The sequence below is a fragment of the Homo sapiens genome, chromosome 14, assembly GCF_000001405.40.
Source record: "Homo sapiens chromosome 14, GRCh38.p14 Primary Assembly".
In the NCBI taxonomy this organism is placed as follows: Eukaryota; Metazoa; Chordata; class Mammalia; order Primates; family Hominidae; genus Homo; species Homo sapiens.
Genome location: NC_000014.9, coordinates 102,433,214 through 102,456,102, shown reverse-complemented (window position 1 = coordinate 102,456,102; position 22,889 = coordinate 102,433,214). Strand labels below are relative to the sequence as shown.

General features: G+C 49.4%; 1 protein-coding gene across 2 annotated transcripts in view, besides 2 other annotated features; it reads right to left on the bottom strand.

The window, feature by feature from the left end:
* Nucleotides 1-22,889, bottom strand: part of TECPR2 (tectonin beta-propeller repeat containing 2) — a 139,537-nt gene that overhangs the window by 46,375 nt on the left and 70,273 nt on the right. For both annotated transcript variants that reach the window (NM_014844.5, NM_001172631.3), the window contains exons 9-16: nt 20,892-21,868; nt 17,898-18,081; nt 15,494-15,667; nt 12,276-12,456; nt 10,156-10,297; nt 6,234-6,474; nt 5,454-5,543; nt 3,476-3,709 (exon numbers count right to left, since the gene is read on the bottom strand). In NM_014844.5, the coding sequence (NP_055659.2) occupies nt 3,476-3,709; nt 5,454-5,543; nt 6,234-6,474; nt 10,156-10,297; nt 12,276-12,456; nt 15,494-15,667; nt 17,898-18,081; nt 20,892-21,868 (2,223 nt within the window). The remainder of the gene's footprint in view (nt 1-3,475; nt 3,710-5,453; nt 5,544-6,233; nt 6,475-10,155; nt 10,298-12,275; nt 12,457-15,493; nt 15,668-17,897; nt 18,082-20,891; nt 21,869-22,889) is intronic.
* Nucleotides 15,768-16,275: an enhancer, noted in NCBI's record as "H3K27ac-H3K4me1 hESC enhancer chr14:102906165-102906672 (GRCh37/hg19 assembly coordinates)". NCBI's record gives its function as "activates a minimal SCP1, AML or CMV promoter by ChIP-STARR-seq in naive H9 embryonic stem cells {active_cell/tissue: H9 hESC(naive)}" and the evidence as "EXISTENCE:reporter gene assay evidence [ECO:0000049][PMID:30033119]".
* Nucleotides 17,945-17,994: a silencer, noted in NCBI's record as "silent region_6116". NCBI's record gives its function as "represses an Ori minimal core promoter by ATAC-STARR-seq in GM12878 lymphoblastoid cells {active_cell/tissue: GM12878}" and the evidence as "EXISTENCE:reporter gene assay evidence [ECO:0000049][PMID:35858748]".

Genomic DNA, 22,889 nt, shown 5'->3' with positions numbered 1-22,889 from the left:
GGGTTGGGCTTGGGGGTTGCTGCTCCCATTAGAAAGGAGAGGAAACCAAGGCCGGGCATGGTGGCTCACACTTGTAATCCCAGCACGTTGGGAGGACAAGGCAGGTGGATCATTTGAGGTCAGGAGTTCAAGACTAGCCTGGCCAACATGATAAAACCCCATCTCTACCCAAAATACAAAAGTTAGCAGGGACTGTACGTGGTGGCTCACGCCTGTAATCCCAGCACTTTGGGAGGCGGAGGCAGGCGGACCACCTGAGGTCAGGAGTTCAGGACCAGACTGGCCAACATGGTGAAACCCTGTCTCTACTAAAAATACAAAAAATTAGCCAGGTGTGGTGGTGGGTGCCTGTAATCTCAGCTACTCGGGAGGTTGAGACAGGGAGAATTGCTTGAACCTGGGAGGCAGAGGCTGCAGTGAGCCGAGATCGTGCCACTGCACTCCAGCCTGGGCGACAGAGCGAAACTCCGTCTCAAAAAACAAAAAAATTAGGTGGGCATGGTGGCACATGTCTGTGGTCCCAGCTACTTGGGAGGCTGAGGTGCGAGGATTGCTTAAGCCTGGGAAGGCAGAGGTTGCAGTGAGCCAAGATCGTGCCACTGCACTCTAGCCTGGATGACAGAGTGAGACCCCACCTGGAAAAAAAAGAAAGGAGAGGAAATTGCGGTTCAAGGTGACAGCAGCTTGCCCAGAGTCCAGAGCCCGCCTGGGGCCCAGCTCTGTCCTGCCTCTGCCATGAGTCCCCACACCTCTGCCTGTGACCTCCTTGCACCCACTGCTGTCTGATTCATTTCGGGGTCAGCCGGATACTGACATTGATTTGCTAATGATTTTGCAGGCGGAACACAGGAGGTCAGTGAAAACCTGCCCATCCACAGCGACCAGGATCCCCAGGCCATCCCTCTGTTCACACACCCAACCCCTCAATGAGTATCTGCTGAACACCAGATGGCCCAAGGCCATCTTGGACTCAGGATGGACTTGTTCCTGTTTCCCTCACACTCTTGAGACTCAATCCCACTCAAGCCAGGTTTCTCCCCGAGAGAAACCTCCCAGTGAAGCCCAAATACACACCTTAGAGACCTGCACCACTTTGGCCAGCTAGCCGGTGCTGGGAGGACTGGATCGAGCCAGGAGGGAGGCATGAGCTGTGCTGGAGGCAGGAGGCCCAGGCAGGGCTGGCTCCAGCAGTGCAGAACCTGGCATGATGCCCATTCACTCTGAATCCCACCACGGTGCAGCAGCCTTCCTGGAGGGGCTGGGAAGGGGACGTGCAAGGGAAGCAGTTCTGCTTCTCACCCAAATGGTGCAGGTGAACACAGCCTCCCACAGTGCTCAAGATTCAGGAGCAGGGAGAATACACACCAAGCCCTGGACTTTTTACCCTCAGAGGGAACTAGCGGCATTTTCCAGTTAGTCTGGGTAGGAGCTGCTGGAGAATGGCTCAGGACCAGTAGGGTCTCTGAACAAATGAAAGGCTTTCCAGGGCAGGCGGCAGGTCAGTCAGCACCAATGTTCAGGCCACTCTCAGCCTCAGCCTTGTCTATCAGTCACTGTCAGTGATGTGGAGAGGCGGGTGTTCTCAAAAAGCTAGATGGTGACTGGTGGGTCCAAAAGGCAGGTGGGGAGGCCCAAAGCATAAAGAACAAAAGTTGCCCTGGACAAACCTTCAGTCCCCAAGCCTTGGAACAGAACTTGCTTCTTCAGCTGAGTTAGTGTTCAGGGGCCTTTTCAGGCAAAAGAATGGGTGATGTCTACTCAGCACCCTGTAGGAGCCCCCGGGGCTGAGCACACCAACCACTGCCAGGCAGCCTAGGACGATGCTTGCTTTACGGAATGGCAAGAGGCTCTCATCAGCTGGTAGCATACAGACTGCAATGCAGCCAGGGGCTTGGGGAGAAGGGGAACAAGCCCTTCTCTTCCTGCTTTCTTTTTTTTTTTTTTCTTTTGAGACAGAGTCTTGCTCTGTCACCCAGGCTGGAGTGCAATGGCATGGATCTCAGCTCACTGCAACCTCTGCCTACCAAGTTCAAGTGATTCTCGTGCCTCAGCCTCCCAACCAAGTAGCTGGGATTACAGGCATGTGCCACCACACCCAGGTAATTTTTGTATTTTTAGTAAAGACGGGGTTTCACCATGTTGGCCAGGTTGGTCTTGAACTCCTGACCTCAGGTGATCCGCCCTCCTTGGCCTCCCAAAGTGCTGGGATTATAGGCATTAGCCACTGTGCCCAGCCCTCTTCTTGCTTTCTTTCTCCCCATCCTTTTTTTTTTTTTTTTTTTGGTGAGTACATGTGATTGAGTTTTCAAACATTAAATGCTTATACAATTCAAGTCTACCACATAACCAAATGCTGGTTCTAAGTTAAAAAAACTGGGAAGCCTTGCAGCCAGGAAGTTCCTAAGTCAGTCCTGCTGCAAGTGCAGGGCTCATCCGGGCCCTGGGGGCCATCTGCACAACTCCACCTTCAGGCAAACCACACCTATGCTGCCTGATCCACCAAGAATCTACTCAGAGAGAAATCTAATGTTGTGGGCTTATGTTATTATTTCTTGGAACATGAATGAATTATTTACAAATAGCAGCACTACATTTCTTTCTTTCTTCTTCTTTTTTTTTTTTTGAAACAGAATCTCGCTCTGTTGCCTGGGCTGGAGTGCAATGGCATGATCTCGGCTCACTGCAACCCCCGCCTCCCGGGTTCAAGCAATTCTCCTGCCTCAGCCTCCTGAGTAGCTGAGACTACAGGCGTGCACTGCCACGCCCACCTAATTTTTTTTTGTATTTTTAGTAGAGACAGGGTGTCACCATGTTGGCCAGGCTGGTCTCGAACTCTTGATCTCAGGTGATCCACCCACCTCAGCCTCCTAAAGTGCTGGGATGACAAGTGTGAGCCACTGCGCCCGGCCTACAAATAGCACTACATTTCTTAGCCTACTCCACGGCTTTTGATAGAAGATTCAGAGAAAAGCAGGAGCTAGTGGATGCAGGTCCTCCTATATCTGGCTGAGCTGAAGGAGAGCTAGCACCTGTGTGCTGAGCCACTCTCCTCCGCCAGGTACTGTCCTGAGGAGATAGACAAACGTGGCACTGATCCTGTCATAGGGAACACCCATCTTTTCAGCTTTTCAGGTCATAAAGCTATGTTCCATATTCAGAAAGACTGACGGGGCAGCTGCATCACCAGTATCCTTCAAGCCGCTCGCAGCGAGTGGCCCCTTGACCTGAGGACGCACACCCTCCTCGGGTTCTGACAGCCCTGCAAACTCTAAGGGGCAGGGGAAGGGACAAAACCCAGAGCCTGTCTAGTCTGAAAGAGTGGCCAACTGAGCTCCTGAAATTCAGCAGCTTATAAACACCCCCTCAGAACTCTCACAGGTTGGACACAGGCCGGGCAGTTTTGTCCGACATCACGTTGTGATGCCGGTTTAGGGCAGTCAGGGCACCGGCAGGTGTACTCACGAGGTGGCCGTACCTAGCTGGGAGAGGTCCAGCCTGGTCCAGTGCATGCCCGTGGGGCAGCTCTTGGAGAGCGTCCTGATGAACACCTGGCCGAGGCTGTCCAGCGCCCACAGCGCATCCTGGCAGGCGGCATAGGCGCGCATCTCGGCTTCGGGAGGCAGCTGCACCGTGGAGGGCCGCGACTGTGCGCTCTGGGCGCTGACGCTGCACAGGTCCTTGCTGCTCTGGCACAGCCACAGGAAGCTTCCTGCAGAAAGGGGTCATGTTTGTCATCGAGGTGTTGTCTGCACCAAGCCGCCTGCCCTAAATGCACAAGGCAGCCTTTGCCTTTCAGCAGACGCTAGCCACCTGGCCACAGATGCCAGCTCACTCACCTGCCCATTCCCACACGGGCAGGAGCGGTGTAGCACTTTAAGGTAGAAGGCAGAGGGAAACACCGTGACTAACAAGAAACACGCCTGAGATGTTGGAAAGAAATGGAAAGAAGGCAAGGCTTAGGAGATTTTATGAAGGCCATAATGTTGGCTTAGTGGCTTTGACCTCCCATTTTTCATGGGCTGAGAAGTTTTTCACTTGAACAAAGGCACCAAAGCATTTTTAATGTAGAAAGTTAATTTTACCAAGAGGAGAAGACTATCAACTCGGTGCCCTGGAGGGAGGGAGGGTTGGCAGTTCCTAGGAAGGATGGCGCCATGGTGCTCTCCCGGACCTTCTGGGGATGGGGCCGGGGGGTGGGGCAGCTGCTGGAGAAGGCTTAGGAAGCTGGAAGTGCTTCTCTTCCCACCCTTGCCTCAAAATCATGTCCTTTCATTCCCTACAGCATTTTAAAAAAGTCCTTTAGGTTTAACAGATTCTGTTTAAAATGCAAATAATCCTTAGGGCAGTTAAAATCTTGGTCACAGTACGTTATATGAAGTATTATCTACAACTTGTGGCCACGTTTTGGAATTCAAACTTTTTCTGGATTTTTGAAAACCTAAGCTAATGGGTATGCCAGAGGTTTACAAAACAACCACGGAGGGGCCAGGCGCTCCCCGGTGAAGTGCGGTAACATCCCTGCAACATGGATGCGGTCACAGCCAACAGATCAACCAAGGCTGGAGGCAGCTATGTGAGATCCGGTCAGGTTTTGCTGCCAAATTAATTTATGCCAGACTCAAGAAATAACATTGTTTTCAGAGATTTCTGGGTTCCAGAACTGTGGTCCGAACAATCTGGTGAGTAAGAAGTTATTGTACTGACCCAGTCACCTGCATCCTAGTGGGACTAATGGTTTGAACTAAGCAAACGATTCCCTCTTCACCACAGATTTCACAGCATCTTTGCATTTCATCCTCAGGCAATCCTGGGAGGAGGTACAGCTACTTCCCAGAGAGGTCGCCTGACTGCCGGGGCTCCCAGCTAAGCGGGTGGGGGAAGTGCCCCTCCCGGCCGCAGATGCCAGCTCCCTCACCCTCTGGTGCCCTGGCTCCCTCACAAACCCTGTACTCCGCAGGGACACTGAGTTCTGCCCAGAATGTGGTTGGCAGGAGCACCCCGCTGCAGGGCAGGTCTGCCTAATGCGGTGCAAATGTCGGACTTAGGTTATCCGGAGGCTGTGAACAAGACGGAAGGAAGTTGCTGGGAGGTGACAGAAGGATTCTCGAGGGGAGATGGGAAGGTGCCCAAAGAAGCTGTGGCCCCTGCCATGTGCCACTGGAAGTCACCAGCTGCCAGCCCCGGTGGCTGCACTGTGTGAGCCCCTCCTTCAGAAGGACACTTTCCCTCATCTTCACCACGCTCGGTCCCTCTCAGAGGCTCTCCTGGTCAGGCCTATCCCGATTCAGGGCCCTCGGCTCAGCTAACAAGGGCTACTGGCCTCTGACACCCTCACGTGGTCAGTCTCCGAGGCATGCCCCATAACCAACAAGGCCACAGTCCGACTGTGGTTTGAACCTTTCCAATGGCCAAGCTGTGCTCTAGATTCTTCAGTGAGGCTAAGACTGACCCACCTTCCTTCGTGGGAGCTGCAGAAGCCAACACAAAGGCCCATTTTGTAGCAGAAGCTGTCCCACGGGGAACCACATGATTCCAGTAGGTGCCTGGAAAGAGTAAATAGGAAGAATGTGTTAAAGAAAGAAAGCATAGACAAAACCACTTCAGATCTTAGTTCTGGACGACAGCTGGCCTTCAAACCCTTTCTCCAGATAATTCTAGAGTGTCCCTAAATAAAGCGACATGAGCAATCACAGCCTAACATTCATCTCCCTCTGAATACTGCCAGGCAGAGCCACACCCAGTCCAGGGTCGTGGAGGCCATGCAGCAGGGAGAGGGCTGGAGAAAAGCAAGGGGTTCACTCACAGAAACAAACCCCAGGATGTGTAGACTGGCATCTACATTCACAGACCTGGCCAGAGCCTTGCATTTCCAACAGTGGCGATCACCTTCCCTCCAGGAAGTGGACCATTCTCTCTCACTAGGTTTGGGTGGATTTTTTCATTTAAAATGTGAAATTGTTAACATAAAAATGACCTCCATTTGCTTTTCTTATGTCATAAAAGGTTTCCAGGGGAAACACTATCCAGACACAGGGATACGAGTTTTAGGAATGACAGATTTTTTAAAAAGGAGAGAAACTGATCACAAAGCATAGAGTGCCTCCACTAGACACTTCATACCACTGGCACTAAATTATCTTTTCAAGTTGAGATCTTAAAGCTTTTCTTTAAATGTTGGCTTTAAAGTGAGGCTGCCTATAAAGCCAGTGTGAAAATTACAGCAATTCACCCACCTATGAGACTTCCCTTAGCGACGTGGAATTCATTCTTGCCCGAGGAGATCCAGACACCGCTGTTATTGACCCCGAGAAGGCTTGGCTGGCACTGAAGCTGCTGGGACCAAAACGCCATGCGCAGCTTATCTGCCACCTTTTCTACGGGGGCTTGGGCTGCTGTGGCCACCGAGTGAGTGGCATGGATTATCGTCTGAAATAAGCTGCACTGGTCAAACACCACATAGTCCGTGATGCTCACCTGGAAGGAGGAGACAAGCAAAAGCCCTGCTGTCAGAGCAGTTACAAGTGTAGACTCTCTGCCTTGAGGGAAGGTTCTAGCTCAGGTCCACACCTCTGCATTTCTAGTAACAAGATGACCATCCAAACACAAATGTGCACGTGTGCGCTTGTGAAAGGACCAAAAAAATGTGGCAGGATGCCATCAAACTGCTAATGCTAACTCCAGCTCCTTCGTAGGGTTGGATTTAAAGGTATGGAAGAATATATTCACATTTTATATACTTTTATACAACATGGATCTGTTACAAGCATGTATTACTTTTGTGATTATCACCCCCTCACACCCCTTCTAAGAAGACTTTCATTCTAATCAGAGTGAGAAAGAATAATTTTGCCATCTTTTCTGAGACAGTCTTGCTCTGGCATCCAGGCTGGAATGCAGTGGCACAATCATACTCAGCCTTGACTTCCAGGATCAAGCAATCCTCCCACCTCAGCCTCCCAAATACAGGCGAATGCTACTACATGTAGCCAATTTTTAAATTTTTTGTAGAGACAGGTCTCCCTGTGTTGCCCAGGGCTGGTCTTGAACTTCTGGGCTCAAGTGATCTCCCTGCCTTGGCCTCCCAAAGTGTTGGGATTACTGGCATGAACCACTATGCCCAGCTTTAATTTTGCTTTTAAATCAGGTATTTCCAATGGACAACAGTATACGGTACTTAGAAACATAATATGCATCTAAAAAGGTATCACAAGTAGAGTGATGAACTTTTTTTTTTTTGAGACATAGTCTTGCCCTGCCACCCAGGCTGGAGTGCAGTGGTGCAATTTTGGCTCACCGCAACCTCTGCCTCCTGGGTTCAAGAGATTCTCGTGCCTCAGCCTCCCGAGTAGCTGGGACTACAGGCGCACGCCACAACAGCCGGCTAATTTTTTATATTTTTAGTAAAGATGGGGTTTCACCATGTTGGCCAGGCTGGTCTTGAACTCCTGACCTCAGGTGATCCGCCCGCCCAGGCCTCCCAAAGTGCTGGGATTACAGGTGTGAGCCACCATGCAAGGCTGTGATGAACTAATTTATGATCTGAATTGGGACTACTAATAATTACTCCAGGGCAAGAGCATCAACTAGGACCATCCTGGGTATCTAGACTCTAACCCTAGCTCAGAAGGGTAGCTTGCTTCTATAACATTCCTGAAAAGCATTCATATACCTCAGACATTTCTCCAACCACCCCTCCCTGCAGGAAGCTCTTCTCTTCTTGGGCAGCTTGATATAAGGCAAATTCTTTATGAGTGAAAATCTGATTCTCCATGATGTTCACTCACATTTCTGCCCTGCTGGGTTTGATTACATAAAACATCACTGGCATAAATGCCCTACTCCTGGTCGGGCACAGTGGCTCACGCCTGTAATCCCAGCACTTTGGGAGGCCAAGGCAGGTGGATTACTTGAGGTCAGGAGTTCCAGACCAGCCTGCCAACATGGTGAAACCCTGTCTCTACAAAAATACATATATGTATATTTTTACATGTATATGTATATATATGGTTACAAGTACACAAAAGGTATTTTAAAATCATTTGCATGACTATCAAATATTACCTAGTATATAAATTAGATACATCTGTATATAATGTACATATTATATAGAATACATATTTTATCAAAGAGTAAACACAACTCATTTTTCTACATTCTCATCTGAAAGACCTCAGAGCAGTCAATGCAAGACAAGCCTTCAACAAAGCAAGTCTGAGGTGACAATAAAACATAAACCAATGGGGCAAGATACTTCAGAAACATCAAATACTGGCCGGGCGCGGTGGTTCACGCCTATAATCCCAGCACTTTGGGAGGCTGAGGCAGGCAGATCACAAGGTCAAGACATTGAGACCAACCTGGCCAACATGGTGAAACCCTGTCTCTACCAAAAATACACAAATTAGCTGGGCCTGGTGGTGCGTGCCTGTAGTCCCAGCTACCCAGGAGGCTGAGGCAGGAGAATCGCTTGAACCCAGGAGGCGGAGGTTGCAGTGAGCCGAGATTGCGCCATTGTACTCCAGACTGGGTGACAGAGCAAGACTCCGTCTCAAAAAAAAGAAACATCAAATATTTCACGACCATCGACTATCAGTGAAATCTTACCTACCACAGTGGGAGACTGTGGGAGCAACACTAACACTAAACTATACCAAAGAAGGGGAAAGTAGACACTCCTTTGAAAATCCATTCTAGGGCCGAGGGTGGTGGTTCACACCTGTAATCCCAGCGCTTTGGGAGGTCAAGGTGGGAGGATTGCTTGAGCCAAGGAGTTCGAGACCAGCCTGGGTAACAGCAAGACCTTGTCTCTACCAAAATAATTAGCCAGGCATGGTGGCATGTGCCTGTGGTCCCAGCTACTTGGGAGGCTGAGGTGGGTCGTGATCCTGCCACCACACTCCAGTGTGGGCAAAAGAGTGAGACTCTGCCCCAGAAAAAAAGAAAAGAAAAAGAAAAGAGAAATTCATTCTAGGCGCTCTTGCTGGGACCAAATCACACACAGTGAGCTTGATTATACCCTCATCCTGTTTCTTATAGTGTTTCCTTTTCTGGAAGCACGTGGGAAAATTCTCCTGTCTTTGCTGAAATACCATCTACTTAGAGGCCTTCTGAATAAGCAGAGACAGCTCAATTTTAATTCTGGGTTGGGCTTTCAAACCTATTATCTGGGCTCTTTTCTCAGCACATTTGTTCATAATTAAACATCATTATTACCTAGGTCTTCAAATGGATGTCACTGGGTTTATTTAGCCTATAATAATAAATATATAAACAATATCAAAATAAATAAATTAAGTGCATTATTTACACAAAGAGTTTGCAAATTATTTCCTATGATGAAAAGTCCTTTATGTTTCTAATGCACTCAAACACAGCAAAGTCTAATCCATCAAATAGAAAAAAGGAATACTATTGGCTGGGAGTGGTGGCTCCACTTGTAATCCCAGCACTTTGGGAGGCGGAGAGGGTGGATTTCTCTCTCTCTCTCTTTTTTATTTTTATTTATTTTGAGACAGGGTCTAGCTCTGTTGCCCAGGTTGGAGTGTGGTGGTGTGATCTTGGCTGAAACCTTTGTCTCCTGGGCTCAAACTATTCTCCCACCTCAGCCTTCCGAGTAGTTGGGACCAACGGCGTGTGCCACCATGTCCAACTAATTTTTGTATTTTTGGTAGAGACAGGGTTTCACCATGTTGCCCAGGCTGGCTTTGAACTCCTGGACTCGAGTGATCTGCCTGCCTTGGCCTCTCAAATTGCTGGGATTACAGGTGTGAGCCACTCTGCCCAGTCTGGGTGGATCTCTTGAGCTCAGGAGTTTGAGACCAGCCTGCACAACATGCCAAAACCCTGTCTCTACAAACAAATACAAAAAACTAGCCAGGCATGGTGGCACACGCCTGTAGTCCCAGCTACCTGGGAGGCTGAGGTGGGAGAATCACCTGAGCCCAGGAAGTCAAGACTGCAGTGAGCCGTGACTGCACCACTGCCCTTCCGCCTGGATGACGGAAGGAGATCTTGTTTCAAAACAAACAAACAAATAATAAAAAAGTGAGTATTTTAAATTTAATCTAGTATCGTTAAGGAAAAGAGAGAAGTAAGAAAAGGGGAAGCAGAAAAGGTCGGGAGACCTCGGCACGTGGCGCAGAGCTGAACACCTACTTGCCACCAATGGTCGTCATCTCCTTGGGGCTTCTTGGAAATAATGCCAGTTCTGAACCACAGGTTCCCATGGATGTCCAGGGCCCAGAGAGTCTGCTGATCCCCGAGCGTTATGCAGACGGGTTCTAAAGCTTGCCTTTCGCTGAAAATAAGGAGGAGAACAGGGGGGTCAGCACCCATAGGCAGAGTGCCCAGTGTGTCTGGACTGCGGACATCCAGGGTCTCCCGGCAGGCGTGGCTGGGAGAAGAGACGTGGCCCTGGAGCGGATCAGCAGGTGCCAGGGAAGGAAGTTTGGGTCTGAGTTAAATTACTGTGCAAGAGATATGGTTCAAGTGGGTGGCAGCTTTTGAAAGACACACTGATGACCCAGAATGGCTGGGAACACTCTTAAGAGAGAAAATAACCTAAGAAAAAAGCGAGTAGGCACAAAAGGAATCCAAGGCCCCTGAGCGCCTCCATCTCTCTACTCCTTCCCCTACCAATCCAAGGCCCCTGAGTGCCTCCATCTCTCTACTCCTTCCCCCGCCAATCCAAGGCCCCTGAGTGCCTCCATCTCTCTACTCCTTCCCCCGCCAATCCAAGGCCCCTGAGCGCCTCCATCTCTCTACTCCCTCCCTCACCAAGGGAATGACTGTAAACTCCCCCGATGTGCCAGGCTATTCTGTGCAGCTGGACCTAGGCAGACACTGCCCTCTTTGCTGGAGACGCCCTCCCCCTCCTTCCATATGGGGAAGTCCTCGTCAGCTTCAAGGCTTAGCTGTTGGTCCACTCTGCATGCTGCCTTCCTGATCTCTGCATGGAGTCCATGGTTCCCTCAGTGCTGCATGCTCCACACTCCTGTTTAGGGCCATCTGTGCTAATGGGTGTCCATCCATGCACGGGGCCCCCATGAGACTTGGAACTGATGAGAGCAGGGCCAGTCTCAGCCCTCTTGGCGCACCCAGCCCCTAGCACCATTCTGGCTTTTTGTTGTTGTTGCTTTTTTTTGTCTGTCTGTTTTTTGAGATGGAGTCTTGCTCTGTCACCCAGGCTGGAGTGCAATGGTGCGATCTCAGCTCTCTGCAACTTCCGCCTCCCAGGTTCAAGTGATTCTCCTGCCTCAGCCTCCTGAGATGCCCGGTTAATTTTTGTATTTTTAATAGAGACGGGATTTCACTATGTTGGTCAGTCTGGTCTCGAACTCTTGACCTCGTGATCCGCCTGCCTTGGCCTTCCAAAGTGTTGGGATTACAGGCGTGAGCCACCACACCTGGACCATTCTGGCTCTTAATAGGTATTCACTGAAAGTTTATTGGCTTGCTAAATTCAAACCAAGAATATCCTAATCTAGTTTTTCAAAGGACTATTAATACTTCCATACTAGTAAAATGATCTGATGGCAATTCTATAACTAACATCTTGAATGGTAAAAAAAAAAATAGCTTAATAAATTACAGTTCAGAGATCGGGCCAGGCATAGTGGCTCATGTCTGTAATCCCAGCACTTTGGGAGGCCAAGGCAGGAGAATTGCTTGAGCCCAAGAGTTCGAGATGAGTCTGGGCAACATGATGAAAACCCAAAACTCATCTCTACAAAAAATACAAAAATTAGCTGGGCATGGTGGCATGCATCTGTAGTCCCAGCTACTCAGGAGGCTGAGGCAGGAGGATCACCTGAGCCCGGAGGTCAAGGCTGCAGTGAGCCGTGATCGTGGCACTGCACCCCAGCCTGGGTGACAGAGTGAGAACCTGTATCAAAAAAAAAAAAAAAAGCTACAGTTCAGAGATCAACTTCGATTAGCATGAAAATAAAGAAAAATATTTGGACCTAAGCCGTCACAGACACTAAACCAGAACTACCTGACGGTGGGCAATTCTGAATAGAGACCGTCATGACAGACTCATGACGCTGTGATGCTCAGGGCTGCGCAGAGGGCGGCAGCATTTTTAAAAAGCGAGCTCTGACTCAACGTCCAGTTTGCCGGTCAGAATTAGGCAGAGATTCAAGCTTAGCCTATAGCCATGGAGGCTGCAGGTGCTGCCTCCCAGGAACGGCCTCATGGTGCCTTGTGGTGTCAAGTGGACAAGAACGAAGGGTAGGACAAGCACGATGTGAAAGGAGTCTCTGGCCCGCCAGTACCTGACAATGTCACACTTCCACTGCTCGCCTTCCGGACAGAAGCTGCTCACGCCCTCCCGGTACAGGAGGGCCCTCTGCTCTGTCAGCGCCCACACCACATTGTTCCGGGCTGTGATCTGGGACAGCGGGTAGGGACAGTCCACCTTTACGGCTCTGGCACAAGGGCGATCCACGCTCAGACCTGCCAGGAAGATGGGAAGAAGCCCCAAAGACACACAGTCAGAACTCCACACCTCATTTTGACTTGGTTATTGGCTTATTTTTCCTTTTTTGGTATTTTGCTATATTCTTTTATGATGAGTGCTTTAAAAAAAAACTTTAATTAATTAATTAATTAAAAATATAGACGGGGCCTTTCTACGTTGCCCAGGCTGATCTCAAACTCCTGGGCTCAAGAGATCCTCCCACCTCAGCCTCCCAAAGTGCTGGGATTACAGGCAGGAGCTGCCCTGTCCGGCCGCTTTTTTGTTGTCAAGTTTAATCAACATAAAGTGGTTAAATTCTGCCTAAATGTAACATCTATCTGAAAACAGTTTTAGACACTCTTTGAAAACTGAACAATTCAGAATTATCTGGTGTCCCAATGTAGCTTAAGAAGTTCTAAGAGAAGAACACAAAAGCCAAGAGCAGGAGAGTGGCCAGATGGAGGCCCAAAGGCTGCAGGGCAGAGCAGCTCTTCCAGGCAGAGGGCTGCAGCGCTGCTGGAGTTGGCAGGGACCTGAGGCCTGCAGTCGTTCCTGCAGAGAGCTCCAGCACGGCGGCTCCTCTCTGCTCTGACTGGGTGCGAGGTTCCACTAATAAAATGAAACCCCGAATTTCCCAGATGAAATCTGAGGTCTGTCAAACTGCAAGGCAGTGGCAGGCCAAAGCTCAGGGTCCCTGGCTCCCTGTCCAGGGCTCTCCCCTTGCCTCCTTGTGTTCTGTCAATAAAGTATGTCTAAATGAGCTCAAAGGCTATTCCCAGGGGAGCAGACAGACCAACTGTCGCCTACAACCCTGTATTCCTTGACCTTAGGCCTGCAATTAGGTCTCAGTACTCAAATATGCTCCGTGACTAATCACAGACGCACCTATAGTATTGCAGTCCTTGGGTGATATTTCCTTCCACTAAACTAGGTGGGAATCACCGGCAGGACTTCTTACACGACACACTCCTGAGCAGTCTCCAGAGGGATTGGACCTAATCCAACAGGTCTGGGTGGGGCCACCTCATGTGAAATCACTGTCCTGGTGATTCCTCTGGCACTACTGGTTTAGAGGTCACTCGCTCCTCACCCCCAGGCCAGAAGCACCTCCTGTCTTCCCCATGACCAAAGCTCAAATGTCCTGGCAGCTTAGATGTGCATGTGCCTTGACAGAGCTACTTTCATTTAAAGAAAGACACAGGAACTAGGCTGGAGAGACCTGGGCCAGCATATGGCCTATGAAGCCAGCATGGCTGTGCACCCAGGCCAGAGGTTCTTACACAGCTAGGAGAGAGCCAGCTGTGCAAGAGCTTCAACCTGAAGACTCATCCCCAGCTGACGACTCACAGCAGTGATTAAAACATGCTCCTGAGGCCGGTGGCTCACGCCTATAATGCCAGCATTTTGGGAGGCTGAGGCGGGCGGATCACAAGGTCAGGAGTTCAAGACCAGACTGGCCAACATAGTGAAACCCTGCCTCTACTAAAAATACAAAAGTGAGCTGGACATGGTGGCATGTGCCTGTAGTCCCAGCTACTCGGGAGGCTGAGGTAGGAGAATCGCTTGAACCCAGGAAGTGGAGGTTGCAGTGAGCCGAGATTGTGCCACTACACTCCAGCCTGGGCAACAGAGCGAGATTCCGTCTCAAAACAACAACAACAACATTCTCCTGGAATCAACAACATTAAACGCCTGGAAGACTGATCTTTACATAAATCCAACGTGGCCTCTGGACAACTGACGATAACTCCTGCCCCACAGTCCTTCCAGATACTGATAAATCACATTGCTGGTGGAAGATCCTTCCCCATTCTGCTGACAGTAAACACTGACTGTCATTACAGCTTATTTTTAATAAGCAAGTCCCACTGTGCCCTTCCATCAGCTAAAAACTTCCCTGAGGGCAGCTTCCTGTGACTTGCTGAACTGCTATTTTTGTTTTGTTTTGTTTTGAGACGGAGTCTCGCCCTGTCACCAGGCTGGAGAGTGCAGTGGCGCGATCTCAGCTCACTGCAAGCTCTGCCTCCCAGGTTCAAGTGATTCTTGTGCCTCAGGCTCCCAAGTAGCTGGGATTACAGGCAAGCGCCACCACGCCCAGCTAATTTTTTGTATTTTTTTTTTTTTTTTTAGTAGAGACAGAGTTTCACCATGTTGGCCAGGTTGGTCTTGAACTCCTGACCTCAGGTGATCTGCTCGTCTAGGCCTCCCAAAGTGTTGGGATTACAGGCATGAGCCACCACACCTGGCCTGAACTGCTATTTAGAGCAAATTATGGCCTGGTGTGGTGGCTCACACCTGTAATCCCAGCACTTTGGGAGGCTGAGGCGGGCAGATCACTTGAGGTCAGAAGTTCAAGACCAGCCTGGCCGACATAGTGAAACTCCATCTCTACTAAAAATACAAAAAAATTGGCTGGGCGTGGTGATGGGCACCTGTAATCCCAGCCTGTGATCAGGAAGCTGAGGCAGGAGGATCACTTGAACCCAGGAGGCAGAGGTTGCAGTGAGTCAAGATGGCACCACTGCATGCCAGCCTGGGCAAGAGAGCGAGACTCCGTCTCAAAATAAAAAAGAGCAAATTATTTCTTTTTTTTTCCTGGCCCACGGGTAAGTAAGTATATAGGAGCCGGGCTTTGATATGGCTGAAAAAAAAAATGCAGCCACTTAAACTTTAGCTTAAAGGGGGAAATGAATTTTATGTCCTTCCTCTGTATTCTTACCTCTTAAGATCTAACATTGTAGGATACGTGATATGCGGTGGTTGGCCATAGGAGAATAAGATTCTGTTTCTGTATCTCACCAAATAATCCTATTCATTTTTGCCCTAAATTTGTCCTGGGTTGAGTTTGTGTCAATGCAGGAAACTGCTAATACATGCCAAATGGCAAATACTCTCTTCCCAGAAGTGTCTTAATTCGAATGGATTTAGCCTCTTAATCATAGCGATTGTGGTAAGCATGTTACTAGCAAAGCAGGGTGCAGCAGAGGCAGTGACGGCAGAGCTGGCAGGCCTCTAAGCGTGGCCCGCGGTTACCTGTCTGCAAGTATAGGTCCCCACTGGTCCTGATGATCCAGGCCGTGTCATCGCTCAGGGCCACAAACACTGCCTGGGGCAGGGCTTCGTACCAGTGCCGCTTCCCCTTGATGGTGACTTTCCCACAAGCAAAAGCCCGGTTAGATTTCTGTTCAATCTTCCAGAGAAGGGCTCCTATGGAAATAAAAATTCTATTCACTGTCCAATAAATACTAGAATATATTTCTATACAAAAGTCTTCATGCTGGGCATTGAGGGGAGAAAGATTTCTAAAACACATCCTGTTCTGTCCCCCCAAGTGGGGAAAGAGGCCACCAGACCCAGGTTTGGGCCCTTGGCCACCACCCAGTGGCTATGCAGCTTCAGGCTCCATGTCACCGCCCGTCTCCAAGCTTCACTTTCCTCCTGGGCCGTGGGGATCATCTCCACCTTACAGGGCTGCTCTAAAGACTGCAGACGGAAGCAGATCAACCACATGGCCACAGAGCTGGGCACATGACAGGCGCTCCTCACACGGGAGGAGAAACACTGATGACATTATTAGGTTTGATAAGTCTCCAAATAAACATCCTAAGCACAACTAGTGCCCTAGGAGAGGCTGAAAAAGTCCTTTAGGGATTCAAAGAGAAGGATCAGTTCTGGATGAGCTGAATGGAAAAGGTGCACAGAAGGAACACACTTGCACTGAGTTGGCCTGTTTTCACTGTGAAGAGGACTTTGATGAAGAGATGGAGGAGGAGAGAGGAAAGGGAAGGCAGGATAGCGCTGCAGCTGGAGGCCTGGAGCAGGCCGACGCAGGCAAGGCAAGGGGCCACCAGTGATCACCGAGTGTCAGCTGGGCTGGACTAGAGGGCCTGTCGAGCATCTCTGCCTGTGGTGCCCCCGGCACAAGGGCTCTGCTGCCCACCAAGGACATGGGACTGGGCCCTGAAGGACGCCTCAACTGAGCAGGTGAATCTCATGGAGATACAGAGTTCCCGCTAGCACAGTGAGGGACCAAGGGGCCTGGGAATACAAGTAACTAATATAGTCAGGAATAGAACCAAAGTTCTAAAAGGCTAAGGAGACAAACCTGAAGGTAAATGATACCAACGAGAAATGAATTAAAACACACAACTGTGTAATGACAGCTTGTGGAGTGGGTTGTTAGCCAGTCTCTAAAGAAAAATATTTTTCAAACAAACAGTGAAAGCAAGCAAGAAAAACAACGCTGAACAAACTAATATTTTAAACAGTGACAGAGACCAGGGAGAATTAAGGGAAATTCATCCCGAAACACAGTGAAGTTACAGAGAACAGACAGGTCCCAAGCCACAGACTCAGCTTCGGCTTCGTCTGACTTCTATTCCAATGTCCTGACAGTAAACCAGGCTGCTTCAAGGCAAAAGTGTCCCCACTGGCGTAGGTGCCGACGTGGCCAACACAACCTTAAGAAAAAACAAGCAAAGCCGGGCGTAGTGGCTCTCACCTGTAATCCCAGCATTTTGGGAGGCTGAGGCGGGCGGATCATGAGGTCAGGAGATCAAGACCATCCTGGCTACCACAGTGAAACCCCGTGTCCACTAAAAAAATACAAAAAAATTAGCTGGGCGTGGTGGCGGGTGCCTGTAGTCCCAGCTACTGGGGAGGCTGAGGCAGGAGAATAGTGCGAACCTGGGAGGTGGAGCTCGCAGTGAGCTGAGATTGTACCACTGCACTCCAGCCTGGGCAACACAGCAAGACTCTGTCTCAAAAAAAAAAAAAAAAGAAAGAAAGAAAGAAAAAGCAAGCAAATGATTCCATGCAGATATGGGAGGTCTTCCAGCTCAGGAGAACATCGTTCAGGAAACACCAGCTCCAGTTCACTAACAATGGCCTAACAGCAGCATGAAAGAATGAATGGACTTTCCTTTTAGAGTCAGGGAGTAGACTGTTCACCCACAGCAGAGAGCTCATTAAAACAGAATTCCTAAAGAGGAAGCCAAATAATTGGAATATATCTAACATATCCATAGGCCCGTCTTCGTTAGTTCGGTTGCTTTAAAGCAACAATGAGAAAGAGAAACACGTATTATTTTTATGAAGAGTTAGTATATTAATATCCCTAAAAAAGTCCCTCAATTTTCAAACTTTTTGTCTAGCTTACAAAAATACGATCAGAGCTTACCATTGCAATTAATAAAGAAAACAAAAACTCAAACTGAACACCCATTTACACTACGAATTGACATCCAATGAAGCAATTCACGTTCTTTGGAGACAACCCCTCAAACGTTCCTGAAGAGGCAAACCTGGTGAACGCACGGCAGCGTGAGCCCAGAGCTGCTGCAGGGGAGCCCTGTACTAAGATGTCTGCACCCCGGGGGCGGGGAGCAGGAGCGGCGAGCGGGAGCAGGGAGCGGGAGCAGGGAGCGGGGAGGCGAACCTGAGGGCGAGACTGCCACCTGCTGGACAGCATCTTCAAACTTCTGCCAGCGCAGCCCGGCGCCCGGCAACGCGCTGCAGAACAGGCCGCCTTTGTAGTCCAGGCACCAGATATACTTCTCGGAGACCACCAAGCTGAGGATGCCATAGCCGGGACCCGAGTAGCCCATCCAGCTTTCTGCAAACTAACAAGGGAAGAGCCAGTGAGTTCTGTGGCAGAGGACACAGCCACATTTGGCTTACTGTTCTCAGTAAGAAAGGTGAGAGGATATCATTAACACGAGACGGTAAAACGGGTCAGCAAGACGCCAAGTCAACCCTTCTCCCAACCCCTGCTATCTGTGGACACCCCTCTACTACAAACCTTCTGAGACGCGTGCTGCTGTCTCCCTACAAAGACTCCCTGGAGTCCCTGGATGACATTTTCTCCTGTTCTAACACCTTTGCAAATGTAACGCTTAGAGCATCACATCACGTTACGAAGGAGCTGCTATTATTCTGCAGGCATACCTCACCTTACACAAAGAGCCAGGTTCTTCAACATTTGGATGCAAGTCAATTTTTTGTAGTCTAATCATTACAGAGGCACTGGATATATGGCACTACCACTGTCTTTCTTTTTTCCACCATATTTTCTTTTTTTTTTCCTTTTTGAGACAGAGACTCGCTCTGTCGCCCAGGCTGGAGTACAGGGGCACAATCTCGGCTCACTGCAACCTCCGCCTCCTGGGTTCAAGCAAGTCGCAATTCTCCTGCCTCAGGCTCCTGAGTACTTGGGATTACAGGCATCTGCCACCACACCCGGCTATTTTTTGTATTTTTAGTAGAGACGGGGTTTCGCCATGTTGGCCAGGCTGGTCTCGAACTCCTGACCTCAGGTGATTCGCCCACCTTGGCCTCCCAAAGTGCTGGGATTACAGGCGTGAGCCACTGTGCCCGACCTTGCTAGAATTCTTTTAAAAATCAAAGCTAAATAAAGTCTTTGTACTTTAATACTTTTCAATAAATGCAAAGAAGATAAATGTATTTGTACAGATACCCACATAGAAGTTAACTACTTCAAAGAAAATGGTGCCCAACTCTTCTCAATCCAGCCCTGCTCACCATGGCAAGTCTTACTTCCACACCGAACCTCCAAATAAAAACACACCATAAAATTTCTTGGCTTCCCAGCTACCTGGAGTGGGATGAGGAAGGGAGGAAGTTAGAGAGTCAGGGGCTCAAAGGGCCAGGATCCCTGTCACCTAAGTGAGGGCTTTCCTAAATTTCTGGCCTAGAATTCCAATACCCCACCCCACCGACAGTCTGCCTGGCTAACGCCCAGACATTAGGGGGCCATGCTGCTTGCGCTTCCTGCAGCCCTGTACTTTGCTCAGTACCCTCACCTGAGTCCCACTCAACTGCGAGGATGTGAACATGTACCTGGCTCCCCCTCAAGACTCTGAGGCTCAGGAAGATGGAATCCACAACTAGCTGCCATCTGCACTGTGGTCCCCAGCATAATCACAGAGGCTGACAGTCAAGGCCACTCAAGAACCACTGGGTTGAAAAGATAAATGCCGGATGACTGAATAAAAGGCCACCCTTGGCCAGGCACAGCAGCTCACACCTGTAATCCCAGCACTTTGGGAAGCCGAGGCAGGCAGATTGCTTGAGCTCAGGAGTTCGAGACCAGCTTGGGCAATATGGCAAAACCCCTTCTCTACAAAAAATACAAAAATTAGCTGGGCATGGTGGCACATGCCTGTAGTCCCAGTGACTCAGGAAGCTGAGGCAGGTGGATCACTTGAGCTTGGGGAGGTCGAGGCAGCAATGAGCCATGATTGCGCCACTGCGCTCCATCCTGGGTGACAGAGTGAGACCCTGTCTCAGAAAAAAAAAAAAAAAAGAAAGAAAGAAGAAAAAAAAGCCAGACTTATGGCGTTTTGTCTCAAAACAAGTAAGCAGCATGTTTCACTTCTGAGGCATGACAGCACAGAGGGTGAGTGAGGGGGTCCTGGGGCCCGCCCTTCATTTGCTATGTGACCTTGTGCAAGCTGTCTAGCTGTTCTGTGCTTCCATTTTCTCCTCTGTAAAATGGGGACAAGAAGAGTGCCTATTTTATAGTTCGTGTTTAGAGAAGTAAAAGAGTTAAACCTCTAAAGTGCTTTGTGGGATACCTGCACATGGTGAGCACTGACAAAGCGTCACACTGCTAGCACTGACAGAAGCCAGCGTAGACTGTGGAAAGCACACGTGGCTGTAAGTGCGCAGCCATAATTCATACCTCACATCGACAGTTAGTAGGAGACAGGGCAAGACACAGTTTTGAAACAAATATATCTAGTAATAATTACTTGCTAAGGGAAGTAGGCACTTTTAAAAAAATCACTTTTAATATAAAATGCTCAAGGACAGTTAAAAGTCATCTCCTAGTTACATGTGCTGGGTGGACCTACAAAGACTGGTTACTCCAAACTGGTTCCTGTACAGCTCGCAGGGGAGCCTTGGAGCCACTGTTCGGAGGTTGAGGAGACAGCAGTTCTGGAAATGGCCTCGTGCTCTTGCAGATGGTTCCTTGGAGGGGTGTGAGGAGAAGGACAGGAGACTCCCTGCCTCCAAACTGCTCAGAGCTTTCTCTACTCCACAGGTGGACAGTCCTCTGCCCACTGGTTTTCTGAGATGGCCCCAGGCCAATTCAGCCCTGCCCTACGATGGCTAACAGTAAGTGCCTACACCAGCCTGCACTTGTGGGGTCAGAGGAAACAGCAAGACGCTACCTTGGTTGGGGAGGCAGGTTACTGAGCAGGGTAGAACAGGTCAGAAGTAGTTCAAGCCATTCATAGTCCCTGTGCTGGAAATCCCCTGAAACCCAGACTTGAAAACAGAGTTGGCCTACGGATTTTGCAGTAGGAATAGAATTTCTTTCCATGAGAAGGAAAATAATCAGTCTTGACAATTATTACCCTTAAGAAAGAAGCCTCAGCTACTTTTCCCACCACCCGAACCCACATACCTGATCTGGCTTGAGCAGCCCGGCGTCCTCTGCACCCAGCCGGCTCAGGTCCTGCTGGGAGCAACTAGGTCCGAGCTCTGTCACACTCGTCTCTGAGGATGAAGAAGGAAGCCCGTGGGCATAGATGTCCTCCTCATCGCTGGACGTCAATGTCTGATCCCGTGGAGGCTGCTCAAGCCAGGGCTTGTGAGTGCTGGCTGCCAAGGCAGAGACCGGAGTCAGCTGTCCTCCCACACTCCCCAAGACACGTTCAGAAATGGGTATTTCTTTCTGACCTGTGTCATCATCAGTGACAGCATGCCAGAGATTTGTGCTGAGGTGGCCAGAGGCCTCCATGCTGGTTAGGATGTCCTGCTCTTGGCTGGGCTCCACGGGGCTGCCTTCATCAGCTCTGGTCCCAGGCAGCCACTGTTCAGCACTTGGGGCCCAGCTGAGGCTGGAAGGCACAGTGAGTGAGTTCAGGAGGGGGACTTCACAAAAAGTGCTTTGGGGGCCAATGGGTTGGATGTCTTCCCCATCATGCGCCCCAGGAGAGCTGTCCTGTTCTTGGAAGGGTAACTGTGTGCTATTTGGTCCATCATCTGCAGGACACGGCTCATCTCCGAGTCCCGTGACATCACTGCCTCCCACATCTTCCCTCGCTCCATTGAGCAGCTCCCGCCCATGTGCATGGTGACAGTGTGGCATTTCAGTTCTAATGTCATCTTCCTCAGCCAGAGAATCAGGCATTGATCCTGACACCTCCAGGACATTAAACGTTTCGGGGTCAGTATTTTCCTGTGGGACACCGTTCACTTCACCATTGAAGCTGCTTTCCTGGTCTGGAGACTCTGCACTTAACTGATCCACGCTACTGCCCAGGACACTTGAGGTCATCGACAGCAAGTCTGTGTTCAAGGACTGGGGACTGTCCCCAGGAAATTCGGAGCAGGGTGTCGATTCCAGGGAGCTGTGACAGGTGCTCCTGCTTCCACCTTCTAATTCAGAATAAGAACATTCAAAATAAGGCACGGTTCTATATGATTAGTAAGAGACTAACTTGCACACATATTTTTGGCTCAAGAAAAAAAATTTTAAATAAAGGATATTTGGTGAATGAAGAATAAACCTCTTAAGTACAAATAATCCCAACAAAGAGATGCTTTCTATGCATGCAAGTACTGAACAAATCCATGGGTTTGAGGGCAGCTAAGAAAAACCAGGGGACAAACTGAGATGTTCACCTGGGTCACAAACCAATTCCTTATAATTATTAAAATGCTTAGAAATCTAATAACATTTCCTTCAGTGTTGCAGTCATCTTAGCTAGAGAGGATTAACAGGAACCAAGGAGTAAAAGGTTTGAAAAATTCAGTGTTACACAGCCATAACAAAGAATGAAATCTGGGCTGTGCACGGTGGTTCACGCTCATAAGCCATCCTAGCACTTTGGGAGGCCGAGGCGGGTGGGCCACCTTAGGTCAGGAGTTCAAGACCAGCCTGTCCAACATGGTAAACCCCTGCCTCTACTAAAAATACAAAAACTTAGCTGGGCGTGGTAGTGGGCACCTGTAATCCCAGCTACTCGGGAGGCTGAGGCAGGAGAATTGCTTGAACTTGGGAGGCGGAAGTTGCAGTGAGCCGAGATCGCACCATTGCACTCTAGCCTGGGTGACAACAGTGAAACTCTGTCTCCAATAAATTAAAAAATAAATAAATAAATAAATAAATAAATAAAAATAAAGAATGAAATCTTGTCCTTTACAGCAACATGGATGGAACCGCTGGCCGTAATCCTAAGCAAATTAATGCAACAGGAACAGAAAACCAACAGCATGTTCTGACTTGTAAGTGGGAGCCAAACACTGAGCACGCATGGACATAAACATGGGAAGGACAGACACTGTGGACCTCCAGAGCGGGAGAGGAGGCGGCATGGGTCAAAAGCCACCTACTGCATACTGTGCTCACTACCTGGGTGCTGTATACCCATGTAACAAACCTGCGCATGGACCCCCT